The sequence below is a fragment of the Homo sapiens genome, chromosome 10 (assembly GCF_000001405.40).
Source record: "Homo sapiens chromosome 10, GRCh38.p14 Primary Assembly".
NCBI classification, from domain to species: Eukaryota; Metazoa; Chordata; class Mammalia; order Primates; family Hominidae; genus Homo; species Homo sapiens.
This window is the reverse complement of record NC_000010.11, coordinates 104,291,081-104,307,962: the sequence shown is the minus strand read 5'-3', so window position 1 is coordinate 104,307,962 and position 16,882 is coordinate 104,291,081. Positions and strand designations below refer to the sequence as shown.

The 16,882-nt window shown below is 46.3% G+C and overlaps 1 protein-coding gene across 6 annotated transcripts in view, besides 4 other annotated features; it reads right to left on the bottom strand.

Annotated features, from left to right (window-relative positions):
• The window catches only part of GSTO2 (glutathione S-transferase omega 2), a 35,767-nt gene continuing 21,897 nt past the window's right edge, over positions 3,013–16,882 (bottom strand). For 4 of the 6 annotated variants that reach the window (NM_183239.2, NM_001191013.2, NM_001191014.2 and 1 more), the window contains 2 exons: positions 10,279–10,385; positions 3,013–8,835 (listed from right to left, as the gene is read on the bottom strand). In NM_183239.2, the coding sequence (NP_899062.1) occupies positions 8,679–8,835; positions 10,279–10,385 (264 nt within the window). In that variant the 3' untranslated portion in view covers positions 3,013–8,678. The remainder of the gene's footprint in view (positions 8,836–10,278; positions 10,386–16,882) is intronic. The other 2 variants (XM_047424577.1, XM_047424578.1) reach the window with 1 other exon arrangement.
• Positions 6,713–7,212: an enhancer, noted in NCBI's record as "H3K27ac hESC enhancer chr10:106060509-106061008 (GRCh37/hg19 assembly coordinates)". NCBI's record gives its function as "activates a minimal SCP1, AML or CMV promoter by ChIP-STARR-seq in naive H9 embryonic stem cells {active_cell/tissue: H9 hESC(naive)}" and the evidence as "EXISTENCE:reporter gene assay evidence [ECO:0000049][PMID:30033119]".
• Positions 7,213–7,714: an enhancer, noted in NCBI's record as "H3K27ac hESC enhancer chr10:106060007-106060508 (GRCh37/hg19 assembly coordinates)". NCBI's record gives its function as "activates a minimal SCP1, AML or CMV promoter by ChIP-STARR-seq in naive H9 embryonic stem cells {active_cell/tissue: H9 hESC(naive)}" and the evidence as "EXISTENCE:reporter gene assay evidence [ECO:0000049][PMID:30033119]".
• Positions 7,213–8,730: a biological region, named in NCBI's record as "BRD4-independent group 4 enhancer GRCh37_chr10:106058991-106060190".
• Positions 7,531–8,730: an enhancer, noted in NCBI's record as "BRD4-independent group 4 enhancer chr10:106058991-106060190 (GRCh37/hg19 assembly coordinates)". NCBI's record gives its function as "activates an origin of replication core promoter dependent on BRD2, P300/CBP, MED14 and CDK7 cofactors, and independent of BRD4, by STARR-seq in HCT116 cells {active_cell/tissue: HCT116}" and the evidence as "EXISTENCE:reporter gene assay evidence [ECO:0000049][PMID:35650434]".

Below are 16,882 nucleotides of genomic sequence, written 5' to 3'. Positions count from 1 at the left end.
GCCAGGGAGAAGGTCAGTGGTGTTCAGCCCTCTGGATATCCACAGCTTTGCCCAGTGCAGTTTCTAAGAAGCCCTCTCCATAGGGACAAAATGCCACAAAGAGGAAACAAATCTATGGAGAGGGCCTCTGGCCAGGCAGGGAAGCTGCACAAGCTCCATACATCCAGAGCAACACAAGATGCCACACTAAGCTGCAAGGTTGCTCAGCCTGAACGTTTAAATCCAGAGAGAAACAAGAGCAGGTCCCCTGCCCTCTCTCCATATACCCTCTCAATATGGAGGCCTATGCAAGGTCCTGCCCACGAGGTTCCAGCCTTCATGACAAAGCTGGTGCTAAGGCCAAGGAGACTGAGAGCCTTACTATAAACAGCACAGGGACTAAGAGTGTGGGCTCTGTGTTCAATCTCTGCTATGCCATGTCCTAGCTCAGCAAGTCTCACCATTTCTAAGAGCCTTGGGTGTGCCTCAGTTTCTTCAACTGTAAAACAGGAATAATACTGCCCACCTCGTAGAGCCATTGAGAAGGTTAAATGAAGGAGCGTGTGTGATGCACTTAGCTTCGGGCCTGACAAATAAACTCAACAACAAAAACTGCGGAGATTCTTCCCCTTGCTCTGAGGAGGGCTCCTTACAGCCCAACTCCTACTGCCTGGTTCCCCCAGCAGTGTGAGCTGTCCCTCCACATGGGAGTGCCTCCTCCCACATGGGGGTCTGTCTTCCCTGGGGGTTCCCTCACACACCTCCCTTAGGGCCAGACACTGGCCAGGTGCTCAGAAAATGTTTGTGCACCTCACAGGAGGGGTCTGGGGCCATGTCCCCTGTTTAGGGGAACAGAAAGGGTCTCTTGCCTCTGCCCTTCTGACCCCTCTGTTCTCCTCGTCCCTCTGCAGGACAGCCAGAGCCTAGACCTGCAGTTGCCATAGCAACGACAGAGCCAGAGAGAGTACAAGGCAGGGCATCCCTGTGGCTCCAGAGAAGCAGCTACCTCTTCTAGACAGCAAAGTGGGGAAACAGCTATAATAGCGGCCTCATGATGAGCTCCTGGAAGTGGCCTGGGTTTCTACATCATCCATCCATCCATCCATCCTTCCATTTGCTCAGTCATTCATCACTACTATACACAAGGCACTGTGCCAAGCACCAGGAAAACAAAGTCAAGTGGGACACTATTCCTACCTTGAGAGAGCTCCCAGTCCAGGAGGGAAAGCAGAAGAGGAAGGCAGCAAGGGCAAGGAGGTGAGGTAGTGCTAGTAGTGGGGAGGCCGAGCAGGGCAGAGGTTAAGCGCACAGGCTCCAGAGTCAGCCTCCCGCAAGCAAACCTCAGCTCTGCTCATCACTAGCTACGTAACACCTGGGCAAGCGACTCCACCTCTAAATCTCGGTTTACTGATCTATAAAACGGGAGTGATTGGTACTTACCTCATAAGGTTTGGAGGTATTAGTAGTATATCTAAGGTACCTAGCATATAGTCAGTGCTCAAAAAACAGAAGATTTACTATCATTCTGAATCTACCCTACATTCCCTCCTCCAAAACCCAAGTCTGAAGCCCAAGTTTCTGGTTAGGGCTTCCTGCAGTTTCCTCAGCTAACTCTTCCCCTAGCTTCCAGGATAAGCAGCCCTTGCTGCCACTGTACCTGGGATGTCTGTGTGTCCCCATCTCTCCAACTCCCTGCTGCTATCAGATCACCTGGGACAGTGTCTCAGATAAAAGTCCCCAAAGAGGGTCTTTCTGTTTAGCAAATAAATGGCCAAAAACCATTAAGTGAAATACTTAAAATACCTCCCGCCCTTACCTTTATACAGCTCCTCATTATCCATCCTGATACCCTCCTCTTATGGCAGAAAGGCACAAAGGGTGCATGTGCTGCACATGCGCATGCACACGCGCACGCGCGCGCGCGCGCGCACACACACACACACACACACACACACACACACACCCGTTGAGAGATATTCTTCACCTGTGAGCGTAACCTGAATACGCCCAGATTTAGCAACAGCTGTTCCTGCTAACAGTCATCCTCCCACTTCCCTGCCCCAGTCCTGTGATGCTGGAACAGAGGCTGCCCCTACTCAGGGTTCCCTGGGGGGCAGCGTCATCACTAAGCAACTACTACCTCCATTGCTTTGTCCATCTTAGCCCCAGGACAGGACTGGAAATGGCTCTTCGTATTGGCTTCTATAGCAGGGAGCTGACTGTTGCTGCTCAACTGCTCCCTCTGGAGGGGGCTGTCTGCTAATGACAAAGTAGGCCAGAGACCCTTGCTGTCTGCAAGGGGATTCCTGGGCATGGCAGGAATCCTTGGGAGGAAATGGCAGGGCAGAGTATTGCACAGTTCTTGTCCCTGGAGCACATGTGTAACCATCCTGTCTATGCGCAGCATGGTACTGGTGTGCTTTAGTTTTCCATTCAGCATCCAAGCTGATTGGTAACTGGGCAGGCCTGCAGGCATTTCAAATCCCTCACATTTTAACCCTTGGAAAGAGATAACCTGCTCCAAGAGGAGACAAAGATTCTCTGCTTGACCAAACTTTAGTCAGGCTCCTGAACCTCCTCCTAGGTTCATCTGTGCGTGTCCTTGTAAAATTGTTTTAGCAAAGAACCCTGCTAAGTTAGTTTGGCAAAAGAACTCCCCCACCTCAGTATCAGATCATCCTTGATATCTGATCAAGTTCCTTGTCCTCCGCCAGCCCTCTGGTGATGTCTGATCATCCTGGCCTGTCTTCAGCAAGAATCCTGTTAGGTCAGTTTAGCTAGAATCCTCCTTATCCCTGACGTTTCCTCCGAGTGATTTTCAATCCACTGACCTCTGCTCTACTTCTGGGCTATAAATACCCACTTGTTCGTCTTGTACTCAGAGTTGAGCCCAATCTCCCTCCCCAACTGCAGAAGTCTCATTGCAGCGGCCCCGATACCTACCGTGATGGTTATGAGGAAGTCTTCCTTCACATGCTTTAAACAAGTGTCAGTGAATGATTTTTTTCTTTAACAGAGTAGCGAGATTCTGAGTATTCTTCAGAAACACAGGAGAGAAGATTTATTTTACATCATCAACATTGCAAGATTTCAGAATGCACAGTATTAAACTTGGCCTTGGGGTGAGAGGGAGGAGGACGGGGAGGGATAAAATTGCAGCTTTCAAGGGATCACAGGTTGAGATTAAACCTGCACACAGGAAACAACCAGAAAACAACTCCAAACCATGAATCAAGCCATGTGCAACGTAGGACATCTAGTTCCACAAAGTGATGGGGGGATGAGCACAGGGTTCAAGTCTGATCATTGGCAGAAGCCTAGTCATAATAGGGTTGCCTGCCATTCACTGAGTTTCACCCAGCTGGTACTAAGCCCTTGCATAGATGAGACCATCATTATTCAACAGCCCAATGAAATAGGTACTTAGCCGTCCCATTTTACAGATAAGAAACTGAGGCTAATAGAGGTGTAGCAACTTACTCAAGAAAGTTAAGTTGCAAAGTCGGAATTTGATCCCAGTGCTAACCTTGAAGCCCTGTTTGTAACCCCTATGGCACGCCACTTCTCTTTACATAAAGAAGAATTTTGATCTGAACTTTGCAAGAGAAAAGACTGGTTGGAAAAAAAAACAGAGGGCTGCTCTGAGGAAGAATAGTATGTAGAGGAAATGGCATTTTCAAAGGCTCAAGAGCGCTAACAGGCCAGATGAGAGAAAAATGTTTGAAAAGATCAAATGTTCAGCCTTCCAGGCACTCAAAGAAGAAGATAAATGAAAATGGGTCTCCCAGGTGGGCACAGTGTTTGGTGTGTGTGTGTGGTGGGGGATGGGAACTGGAGACTACTCATTGAGAACTGCACTGGGCTGGATATTTGGTTATTTGTGAAGACTTCAGAAAACAAACTAAGCTAGGCTGATATAAACCACAGGGCAGTCAAGCTTGCTTCTCAACTCAGAGTAACCCAGTCTCCCCTCCATCAAGGCCAATGACTCTGACAAAGGAAACATGGGTAAGGAGACCTGAAGGTGAGAAACCAAGAAACATAACACCTGCCCCTGCCACCCCTACCACCACCAAAGCTCCAAGAAACAATGTGGGAGCCACATGCAGGCAGTTTCTGCAGCACTGGAGGGATTGCTCTAGCTTGTACTTTATGATTTAGATTAAATCTACTTTAATACTCAGAGTCATTCTGTCCTCCTAGGCCTCTGAGTCTGTGATGGGAGGGGCTGCCACAAAGGTCTCTGAAATGCCTTCAAGGCCTTTTCCCCATTTTCTTGGCCATTAGCACTTGGCTCCTTTTTACTTATGCAAATTTCTGCAGCCTGCTTGAATTCCTTCCCTGAAAACGGGCTCTTCTTTTCTACCACATAGCTGGCTGCAAATTCTCCAAACTTTTACGCTCTGCTTCCCCTGTAAATATAAGTTCCAACTTAACATAATTTCTTTGCTCACAAATATGAGCATAGGTTGTTGAAAGCAGCCAGGGCGCATCTTGAATGCTTTGCTGCTTAGAAATTTTTTCTGCCAGATACCCTAAAATCATCACTCTCAAGTTCAAACTTCCACAGGTCCCTAGGCCAGGAGCACAATGCAGCCAAGTTCTTTGCTAAAGCATAACAAAAGTGACCTTTGCTCCAGTTCCCAGTAAGTTCCTCATTTCCATCACCTCCTCAGCCTGGCCTTCACTGTCCATATCACTACTGGCATTTTGGTCACAACCATACAACCAGTCTCTAGAAAATTCTAAACTTTCCCTAAAGAAAACAGGTTTACAAAAACTGCATGTTCTCACTTATAAGTGGGAGCTAAATCATGAGAACACATGGACATGTGGAGGGTAACAATACACACTGAGGCCTATCAGAGGGTGCAGGGTGGGAGGAGGGAGAGGATCAGGAAAAATAACTAATGGATACTAGACTTAATATCTAGGTGATGAAATAATCTGCATAACAAACCCCATGACGCATGTTTACCTATGGAACGAACCTGCACATCCTGCACATGTACCCCTGAACTTAAAATAAAAGTGTTTTTAAAAAGAGGTTTAATTGGCTCATGGTTCTGCAGGCTGTATGAGAAGTGTAGTAGATTCTGCTTCTGGAGAGCCCTCAGGAAGCTTCCTCTCATGGCAAAAAGCAAAGGGGGAGCGAGGCATCTCCCATGGTGGGAGCTGGCGCAAGAGGGGTCAGGGAGATGCTGCACACTTTTAAACAACCAGAACTCATGAGAACTCACTCACTATCATGAGAACAGCACCAAGAGAATGGTGCTAAACCATTCATGAGAAATCTACCCCCATGATCCAATCACCTCCCACCAGCATTGGGGATTACATTTCAACACGAAATTTGGTGGGGTCTCAGATCCAAACCATATCACAGAATTTTAGATCTAAAAGAAATTTCAAGTACCATTTAGTCACCAGCACCACGACCATAGCCAGCTGTCCCAGCCACACAAGCCCTGCCCCATCATGCTCCCTCCTCCCCCTAGCCATGTTAGATTGTAACTGGACTGAGTCCAGGCTAGGCTGTAGCTCAGAACCTCCAAGGAGGGGAACTCCACACAACCTCCATTCTGATGTTAACATCATCTATGACCATTTCTTTTAAATGCTGTGGTTTAAACTAATTTTTTTATTTTTCCAATCTGCAAAAGATAGAGAATGGCTCTGATATGGTTTGGCTGTGCTCCACCTAAAATCTCATCTTCAATTTTAATCTGAATTATAATCCCCACATGTTGGGGGAGGGACCTCAAGGGAGGTGATTCGATTGTGGGAGTGTTTTCCCTATGCTTTTCTCATGACAGTGAGTGAGTTCTCATGAGATCTAATGGTTTTATAAGGAGTTTTTCCCTCTTTGGCTCTGTACTTCTCTCTTCTGCCACCTTGTGCAGAAGGACATGTTTGCTTCCCCTTCCACCATGATTGAAAGTTTCCTGAGGCTTCCCCAGCCATGTGGAATTGTGAGTCAATTAAACCTCTTTCCTTTATAAATTACTCAGTCTTGGGCAGTTCTTTATAGCACCATGAGAATGGCCTAATACAGGCTCTCACCTTTAAATCTTTAAGTTTAGTGCTTTTTATAAGATAGACACCCACCAGGCATGATGACTCAGACCTATAATCCCAGCACTTTGGGATGCCGAGATGGGAGGATCACTTGAAGCCAGGAGTTCAAGACCAGCCTGGTCAACATAGCGAAACCCCATCTCTATTATTTAAAAGAAAAGGGGAAAAAAAGGTAGACACCAATTACTAAAAGTGGTTATCTCTAGGACACAAGATAATGGAAGATTTTCTATTCTTTTACATTATTGTATTTTTAACCCATATGTATTCTTTCCACATGTATTAATTAAGAAGCATATTTTTAAAGTTCTTCATGGAGCATTATTTAATTACCTCCTTCCCTCTTTTCTCCAGGCCACATCCTTCTAGTTTTATTCAAAGATTGATAACTCAGTTTTCTCTGTGGGTCAGACAAGTGACAAAGAAGCGAGATGGAGGAAGTGTAAGGATGTGCAGGTGACCAGGACCCTGGTAAACAGCAGGGAGCATGCCTGGCCAAGAGGCACTCAAATCCCAAACTGGGCTATAGGCCACCAGGCTGCAAACCTCCCCCATGAGTGCTTTTCTCCATTCTATAATTCCTGGTTCTTCAAGCTTTCTAAATTAGTGTGCGGAGCCCCAAAAGAGAACACCTTCATTTTGGTGAGCCAGAGGCATGCCATTTCCTGTTGCATCAGTGGTAACTTTGGTCTTATGACAAGCACTCACTAGCATGCAGGATTTGTACCGGCAAAAGGCTGATCAATCTCCTAAGTCCTATGAGAGGCCACAGGAGAAGATTCCCCTCTTCTTGGAGCAAAGATCCCAGGAAAACGGTGATTCACAGACCTCACTCAGCATTAACTAGGGTGCCATGGCAACAGGGCTCCACATCCGGAGCAGATGGTGCGGCAGACTGCCCCTGTCATGCGCTGCCTCTTCTGGAAGTTCTGGCCACCTCACCAAGCAGGCTTGTTTCTGTCCAGCTGGCACAGAGTAACACCTGGTAACTATTTACATGGGTCAAAATATACCCAGAGCCAGCAGATGGCAGGGCCAGACTGAGACGTGGGGAGAGAGGAGGGCTGATTTGGGCTGTCTCAGAGGCAGAGGTGGCAGACAGCTCCTTAGGGAGCACAGACAAGGCAAAACATCGCTCCTGTTGCTGCCTGGTGTCTCAGCACAGCTAGGAGGATGGGAAAGGATCCAGCATGAGCAAAGCTGAAATGATCACAGGCTGATCCTCAGACACTGAGATGAAACAGCATTGGACAAACTTGGTCCCCCTCCCATAGTGCAGGCAGTAGATGCTCCCAGCCCAAGGGACCTGTTGGCACCAGCCATCCTCAGCTCTTTGCTGTCTTCAGTGGGGTGGTACTGCCTGGCGAAGCTGGCAGAGGGGCCACATCAGAGACAAGCATCCCTACAACAGACAAGCAGCTCCAAAGCGCTAGGTTTAAAACCTCAACCAAGATAAGTGGAGAGATGGGGGCTCCCAGGGACAGAGCCAATGTCTTTTTCAACTTTATCCCCAGTGTGCCCCTGGGCTTGGTACACAACAGGCAACCAGAGGCATTTGTTGAGATGAATTGGAAGAGAGTGTGACGCAAATCCAACGGAATGACCTTTGCTTGTGGCTGGGTTTGGGGCGTGTGTATTTTTTTAAGGCAGGATGCCGGCTATAGAACATTTTGTGAGACATCCTGAGCCCTGACAGCACCAGTGAAATTCTGACGTAGTTAGTCCTGGGTGATAAACCGGTGTTTCATTTCCTGCTTTGGAATTCTTTCCAGTCACAAGACCCTCGGTGTCTCCAGGCCCATGGCCAAAGTTTGGAGAATTACACTCATACTCGCCCACGTGGACAGCGACATTCATTTGCCAAATGGAAGGTATTTAGGTTTGGAGTGTTTTCTTCTTCCTTCTCCCTCTTCTTAAGCTTTCACCAGGGAGGTCTTTGGAGGGTGCCATTCTGTAGTGACAAGCATCAGTCATAGGTTGACCCTGAACCTCAGCATCAGCATCTGCACCAATAATCTGGAGATCAAACTAGGCTGAAGGCCAAGGAGTTAGGAGGCACACAGGCTCCCAAAATGTGCTCTGACATTAGCACCAGGCACTTTCTAGAAAATAGTTAGAAGCTACAGGCTAGGCAGGCCAGGTGGCTCATGCCTGTAATCTCAACACTTTGGAGACCAAGTTGGGTGGATGGCTTGCGGCCAGGAGATGGAGACCAGCCTGAGCAACATAGTGAGACCCTGTCTCAACAACATTTTTTTAAAAATTAGCTGGGCGTGGTGACACATACCTGTAGTCCTAGCTTCTCAGGAGGCTGAGGCGGGAGAATCAACTGAGCCCAGGAGTTCAAGGCTGCAGTGAGCCGACTGTCCCACTGCACTCCAGCCTGAGTAACGAAGCAAGATCTTGCCTCAAAAAAAAAAAGGAAAAAAAAGCAGCAGTAGCAGCAGCTACAGGCTAGAGGAGTCAGACAAATGATTATCAGAAGAATACATTTCCTGTTTTCATTTTATTGGGAACTTCAAAGAAAAGAAAGAGAGACGGATTGGTTCCCAAGACAAGCCGTGACGTAGACTCCCAACAAGCTGGGGAATTCTGGACAGCGAAGGGGTGGACAGTGAGACTCAGCACAGCCCAAAGTCAAAGGCATTAGGGTTGTTCTGAAAATAGAGATTCAAGAAGCCCTGGAAAATGCTCTTATCCATGAGAAGAGCACAGACTGTGGGGTCCCACTTCATGGCTGATATCCAGAGCCGCAGGGCTGGCGTGTGGCTCACACAGCTGCAAGACAGGAAAGAAGCGTCAGCACAGTGCAGGGGTAGGCATCAGGAAAGGGGATGCACGTTGCTTTTTAGATTTGCAAGATATGAAGAATGAGTTTATTTGGGAAGTTATCTTAGTTATCTTATTATCAAGTGAGAATGATAACTTACTGGAGGAAAATCTTATTTTTGGAATAGTTGAATGTTTAGAAGTTGTTGCTTCTAATAATACAGTGAAATACTTTGGACTGATGGCTCTGGGAAAATAACATGTCTGTGCTTCATTTTTTTTGTTTTGTTTTTTAATATATATATATTCTAAAGCTTGAGAAACTTACATGTGCTTCACTGCTTGCCAACAAAAAGACAACCCTCTGAAACAAATATTCTTGGGTCATTCTCAGATTTTACTTTAGGAGATATAAAAAAATAAAGACAAATAATTTCTAAAACATTTTTTAAATGAATAAAACAAGGATGAAACCTTGAAGTCATGGAGCCGACAGGGCTCTTTCAAAGCTCAACCAGGATATTTAGTTCTGGGGTTTATAAAGCAATAAGCTGAAGATAATATGAATGGGTTGTCGGGAATCCAGGACTAGAAGTGAGGTTTCCTAACCTGTGACTCCATGCTCTGTCTTCAGAGGATACAGCCTTTTGTAAATTTTATGTTTGATATTGAGTTTTAAATATCCTGACAAAGAGAGCTGAAGTCGGAAGTGCAGGAGACAGTGGCTGGTTGGGCTCCAGCCCACGGGTTATGAAGGTGCAGACACAGTTCTGCTTCAGCAGGGCCGGATTTCCAAGTGCCAGAAATGTCCAGCACCCACCATGAGGGTGGCTTGGATTAGGGTGGACGTCCGCACACGTCCAGCTTCACTGAGCTTTGAAGTAACACAGCACTGCTCTGCCCAGGAGCCTACACAGCTATTTCTTCTCCTTTAATGTCCCTGCACTTCCATACTTCCATAGTGTGTCACTGCCATTTTGTTTGTATGTTCCAATATCAAGCATATATTACTACACAAATCTTTTTTATAAGGTTATTCCTATCTGGGGGAAGATTCCTCCGGGCAATGAGACATGACTAAGGTTATATGGTGTCCCCTGGGGACCCGTCAGGACCAGGTGGAGGCGTTGGGCACTGTGACTGTGACTGTGACTCTCCACTTGCTCTCAGACCGGCCATGTGGGGGCGCTGGTGAGGACAGCAGGCTCTGAAGTCTGCGGGAGGCTCCTGGGCTAGGGGTCTGATCTGCAGAAATGCGGGCAAAGTGTGGGTCTGAAGTTAGCAGTGGAAAAGCACATATGTTTTTAACAAGGAAGCACACACTGCGGTTTAGAAACCTGATTCACTTCACAGACATCCTGAAACATGTCTACAGGGGGCATGCAGACCATCTTAACCATTGTTACTCAGTGTGACTCCGGGAATTTAACACCACAATGTCAAATGTCTTACTCCAGTATCCCATACACATCCAGCCGCTCAAACCAGGGCCAGAGGAGGTAATCAATCATGGATATACAGGTTCCACCAAAGAAGGTGGTGTTCTGATACTCAAGAATCTAAAAATGGAAACAAAGCAAAAGCAAATAAGTTTATATATCTGCTGACATGTTTATAGACACTAAATGTAAATCTCAAATTAATTCCCAGAGAGGGAGAACTGAGGCCTCTCTCCTTCTCCCTCTGGTTAGGAGAATGCTTCTTCTCTTTCTCTGAGGTCTCCTCTGCCTCTTTTAGGGTCACACTCCTGGCCACCTCTGTCCCTTCCCTCCTTTCAACACTAGAGTGACAGTGTGGCTCATCTGATTGAAGAAACTGGAAGAACAACCTCTACAGAGTACCCCAGTCCCTCCCTCTTAGCCTGGAGCAGCTCCTCAATGTGCTAAGCCTTCCAAGGATAAGCTGAGCCCTGGACAGAGGAGGCTCCCCTTCAGGCCAGCACTGCCCATTACTTGAAGACAAGGTGAGCCTCAGCCTGATGTTGAAGGCTAGCATTAGGAACCCCGCTCAGGATCTCCCATTCTCCAAGATCTGCTTTATCAATAAGAAAGGGGATGCTGCCGGGCCTGGTGGCTCATGCCTGTATTCCCAGCACTTTGGGAGGCCGAGGCGGGTGGATTACCTGAGGTGGGGAGTTCGAGACCAGCCTGACCAACATGGAGAAACCCCGTCTCTACTGAAAATACAAAATTAGCTGGGCATCATGGCACGTGGCTGTAACCCCAGCTACTGGGGAAGCTGAGGCAAGAGAATTGCTTGAACCCGCGAGGCGGAGGTTGTGGTGAGCCAAGATTGTGCCATTGCACTCCAGCCTGGCCAAGAAGAGCAAAAAGTAAAAAAGAAAAAAAGAAAAAAGAAAAGAAAAAGAAAAAAAGAAAGGGGATGCTCTAATCTCCATGCCTTATTATTTTATCTTCTCAATTAATTCAAAACTAAGGCAGGAAAGAGCATCCTATTTAACAGGCCCCCTCAAATTCCAACCTGTGTTCTTCTTCTTCTTTTTTTTTTTTTTTTTTTTTTTTTAGATAGGGTCTTGCTCTGTCACTCAGGCTGGAGTCCAGTAGATCGATCACAGCTCACTGCAGCCTCAACCTCCCGGGCTCAAGCAATCCTTCCACCTCAGCCTCCCAAGTAGCTGGGATTACCCCTGGCTGATTTTTACATTTTTTTTGTAGAGATGGGGTCTTGGGGTCTTGCCATGTTGCCCAGGGGTCTCAAACTCCTGAGCTCAAGGGATCCTCCTGTCTTGGCCTCCCACAGTGCCGGAAATACAGGTGTGAGCCACTGCACCCGGCCCCCAACTCTGTGTTTCTATCACACTTTTTTTTTCATTTGAGCTTTTCAAACTTCACATTTGTTGGCCACTCAACACTATTACTTAATGCATTAAAATAAAATTTCTCATTCCCAAATGAGACAAATCAACCCGGAGGGACTGTAAATCAGATGGACTGTAAAGAAAACAAACTCTCAACAGACAGGCAGCCAAAGACAGCCCCAAAAAAGTACCTGCAAATTTAAAAAAGCGAAAGTGTTTAGCAGAGGTTATTGTTGGTACAGGTCTTCCCAAAGAGAAAAGTATGGCACGAATTACCTGCTTCAATCAAGCAAGCTACTCATTTTGACCTATATAACTCATAATCAACTCAATACTTCCCTATAGCTATAGATCTTGATTGCTGGGCCCAGGTGAGTTGTGGAAATAAGCTATACTCGTGTTTTCATCTGGAAATATCAGGGTTCTGGTGAGGGACAGAGGGCAAAAGGACCAGAATCAAACTGTGGATTAGGGTCCCGGGGCAGGGATGGCACTGGCAGCCAGGAGACACCCAGGCTTGCTTCTTCACATGCCAGGCCAGCTTGTTGACTCTGCTGTGGGGTGATTCAGAGTTGTAGGTAAGGATGTGAGCTTGGGAACCAGCAGACTTGGTCCTGTGCTGTGTGCTGAGCTTGACCTCTGATTCAGCATGGAACCTGGGGCAACTTACCTCCCCTGCAAGCCTCCATGTTCTCATCTGCAAAATGGTGGTCATGTTAGCACGCACCACGGAGGTTATGGTGAGGAGTAAAATCACCATGTATGAAGAACACTCTGGCCCCACTGAGTAAATATGAGCTCCTGTGATGAGTGGGAACACAGGCCCCTGAAGGTGACACCCACAGAAAGCAAATCCATCCCTGATAGAAAGGATCAATGGGCTCCTCCACCTGCCACCCCTTCTCAGAGGGGTTGCCCTAAAGCCTACACCTTCACACCTCCCAGTGTGGCATAGAGAAGTCCCCCTGATCATTGTCCTGGAAGTCTGAAAAAACATGTTAGGTGGCATTACCTTGTTCAAGGAAGCTAACAGGATGGCACTAAAACAGCAGGGTCTGACCAGTGAAAACTCAAAACAGAAGCTATTTATAGCCAGGTATGAATAAAATTTGGTTAGAGGGGAAAGGAACAAATCATTCCATTTTTATGGATTCCAGAAGGCTCCAGACTTTATGTTCAGGAATAGATGATCACTACTCAAACTCTTACCACTGGCTTTGAAATGTGTGCCTCCAGTTTGTTATTGGGCTTCACGGCACAAATCAGAACCAAATTTACACCAAGCGACTCTGGAACATCTACACAGCTCTTCTGCTTTACAGAACAGAGGTGTTCTTGGAAAAGTCTTTGTCAAAACAAACCATAAATAGACATTTAATGGAACCCATGGTGGGTCCTTTGGTAAAGTGAGGAGGGAATTTTTAATTAGTAACTGATGTTTATTTAGTGTATATCTCTAAAGCTTTCCATTTACTCAAAGTAGGAGCATGCCTCTAAATATACATGATCTGATGGACACTATCAATTTATATATAAACGCTCATAAAATAACCCAAGCCTTATCAAGGTACTCGGCACAATAAAAAGCTGAGATGAGCATTAGGAATAAATGGATCGGTGATCCTTCACCAGTCCCCCGCTCAGCAAATGCACATACACATTTCCCTCACATTTTCCAAATATGTCTTGAAACCACCCACATCAAAACTACTTGCATTTCCTAATACAGCTGCAGATTATTGAGCCCCATCCCAGACAGGTATTTTTCCACCAATTTCAAGCAGGGTAAGTCTAAAATCCCAACAGAAAAGCTGTCTTTCCCTAAACTAGCACAAAGTGCTCACTCCTTTACAGACGTAGGAGAACATCCTGGACAGGCCTCCCTGGAGGTCTGCTGAAGTCCTCAGGACTCTCGATAGGAGAGTTCCCTTCTGTGCAAACCTGGAACCTTCCAGACATGTAAAATTACTTTTTCCCCTTAAGAATCCTGGAAAATTGGGACTGGAAGGACCCCTGAAACTCATCTAAGTGGGACCTCCTCATTTCACCATTTATTTCTACCATGATCATTACACAAAGGATTAGAAGTGTAGTGTAAAAATGTGCACTACATACTAAATATGAAAAATAATAAAATGCTATAATCAGGGAAAACGCAAGTTGGAACAGAAGGTCAAAAACCAGGAAGGAAAACAGTATCAAGATATCACGTCCTGGGTCCTGCAGAGTTCCTTCAATAAAGCCTTGAATTTGACTCTTGAGTTTCCTGGCAGCCAAAGGGGAGAGGAAAACATGCTGGTGATGTGATTCTTGTCTCCCATGGGGAAGGACAGGGGAGCCTTGCTGTGCAGAGGAGGAAACCCAGTCCCAGGGAGGTTAACGGGCTCTCCGGTTTGCACTGGAACTAACACGCATATCACATTTTCCTAATTCTCTGACTAGTGTCAACCCTGTGTCATTCAATTCAAATATGTATTTTTAGACTCTAATGAAAAGCTTCCTTAAATTGCTTGAGCCAAGGAGTTTGAGACCAGCCTGAGAAACACGGTGAAACCCCGTCTCTACAAACAATACGAAAATTAGCTGGACGTGGTGGTGGCACCTGTAGTCCTAGTGATGCCTGTAGTCCTAGCTACTAAGGAGGCTGAGGTGGAAGGATCACTTGAGGCTGGGAGGTCAAGGCTGCACTAAGCTGTGAACATGCCACTGCACTCTAGAGAAAGACCTTGTCGCAAAAAAAAAAAAAAAAAAAAAATTGGCCAGGCGCAGTGGCTCATGCCTGTAATCACAGCAATTTGGGAGGCCGAAGTGGGCAGATCACTTGAGCCCAGAAGTTTGAGACCAACCTGGGCAACAGGGTGAGACCCCATCTTAAAATAAATAAATAAACAGAACAAAATAAAAATAAAAAAGCTTCCTCAAGTCTCTTGTGAATTCTTTTCTGTAAGAATGAAAAAGAATACCATGACTTGATATCTTGATACGGTTTTCCTTCCTGTTTCTTGACCTTCTGTTCCAGCTTTAAATTTAAGTAACAGAAAAAAGCTTGGAACCAGCAAACTCTGAAAGCTCCTCCTTCTCTACAGCCAAGGATTGGTTCGGCTCTGAGCTTCTCTGTGAAAAGAATTTCCTCCTTAGTCTCACCTTTTCATGCTCTCTGAATCAGAAGCTCAAGCCAAAGCAACTGACAGAGGGATGAGACATTCCAACATAGTCATTATGAAAGAGCTTATCAGAATTCTGTCCTTCCTGTTTTATTCCACTGATGAGCAGATCTTCAGGCAACTTTACTAAAATAGTTCTTTCTTGTACTCAATTTAAAACAAGTCCCTTGCATTTACCCCTCTGAAAAAATTTTAGGATAGAGGCAGAGGCAAAATAAACTGACAGACTTAACATCCAATGTCTTGTCTTTCTTAAGTGTTTTATCATCAGAAATGGAATGAAAAATGGGTGTTAGATCTAGATCCACTTAGCAGTAGTTATGTTAATATCCAATCCATCCTTTTAAAGAATTCTATGTTGAGTTCTTCCACCTGATTATATATCACATATAAAGATACAGCCAGGCATGGTGGCTCATGCCTGTAATCCCAGCACTTTGGGAGGCTGAGGTGGACAGACTGCTTGAGCCCAGGAGTTCGAGACTAGCGTGGGCAACATAGCAAAACCCTGTCTCTACAAAAAAACTAACTGGGCATTGTGGTCTGTGCCTGCAGTCCCAGCTACTTGGGAGGCTGAGGTGGGAGGACCACCTGAGCCTGGGAGGTAGAGGCTGAAGTGAGCAGTGATCACGCCACTGCACTCCAGCCTAGGTGACAGAGTGAGATCCTGTCTCAAAAAAAAAAAAAAGATATTGGTGGTCAGACACTGTGCCTTACGCCTGTAATCCCAGTGCTTTGGAAGGTCAAAGTGGAAGGATCTCTTGAGGCCAGGAGTTCGAGACCAGCCTAGAGCACATAGTGAGACCGTGTCTACAAAAAATAAAAAAAGTTAGCTGGGTGTAGTGGTGCCCAGGAGTTCGAGGCTGTAGTGAGCTATGATCACATCACTGCCCTCCAGCCTGGGCAACAAACACAGCAAGACCCCCTCTCAAAAGACAAAAAAAAAAAAAAAAGATATTGGCCATTCTTAATGTTGAATAGCTTCCCTCACAATGGCATCCCTCACTTTCAGAACCCCTGTCTTTTGTATGAACAAGCAAAGCAAAATAGCCTACTTAGAAAGTGTTTTTCTTCAAAAACCCCAGATATCCCCTATAAGGCTTCTACAAATGGCAGGGGAGGGAACTGAGGCTCTAGCTTCTAGGCCTCAGATTTTCTGAAAACATTGACACATTTTCAATTCAGGCTTAAGAGTTCAAGAGGTTTGTTGGAGACTTTAGTACAATAGAAGAGCTCCTTTCTAATGCAAACATGGTACCTTCCAGACATGTAAAATTACTTCCCCTTTAGTATGCTAGATACTTTGCAGAAAGGTGTTTGACCTTCTGGAATATTAGAAAAATCTATTTTAAAATTTTCTGTTCTCCAGTTCACTGAAAAATAAGACTACGGACGCGATGCAAATGAAGAGGAAGGGACTGCTTGGTAGGATGGGGATGCACTGTTCCCAAGCCCTGCACGCGAGAAGCCTGGCTGGAAAGGCACCTCATCTTCTGCGAGGGCCCCTCGGGCGCCCCCAGAGGGACGAAGGAGAACGTCAGCGTTTTGAAGTGCGCCCTGGAACACAAGGGGAAGGAGGAAGCGCGCGGGGCTCCCCCTGGTGGCCATCAGTGCGAGGCGCGTCGGCCGCGGCTCCCCAAGAACGTTCAACCGGAGGATGAAGAAATCTGCAGTTTTCGCGAGAGAAGCAAGATCATTAGGAGAAGCGAATCCCAGACATCTCCAAACCAGGCATTCGAGAGAGCTCCAGTCTTCAACTCTTTGGTTCAGCCTCAATAATTGAGCTTCAAACCTTGAAGAGGCCAGCTCACCTTCACCATCCTCTACACCATTGCCAAGAAATCCCAAGCCCCCAATCTCGAAACAGTGTGGTGGCTCCCAGTGGGGGCTGCTGTACTTGCTGGAGGAGGAAGAAAGTTTTTCCTCATGAAAATCGTTCTGAAAATGCAGAGGTCATCCCCTACTCTCTGCCCCCCAAAAAAGCAGAAGCCATCCTCCACCCTCTGTGGCCCCTAAAAAGACACAAAGCAACATGCCAGTACATCAGCAATACTGGCCCTTTTCCAGAAGCAGT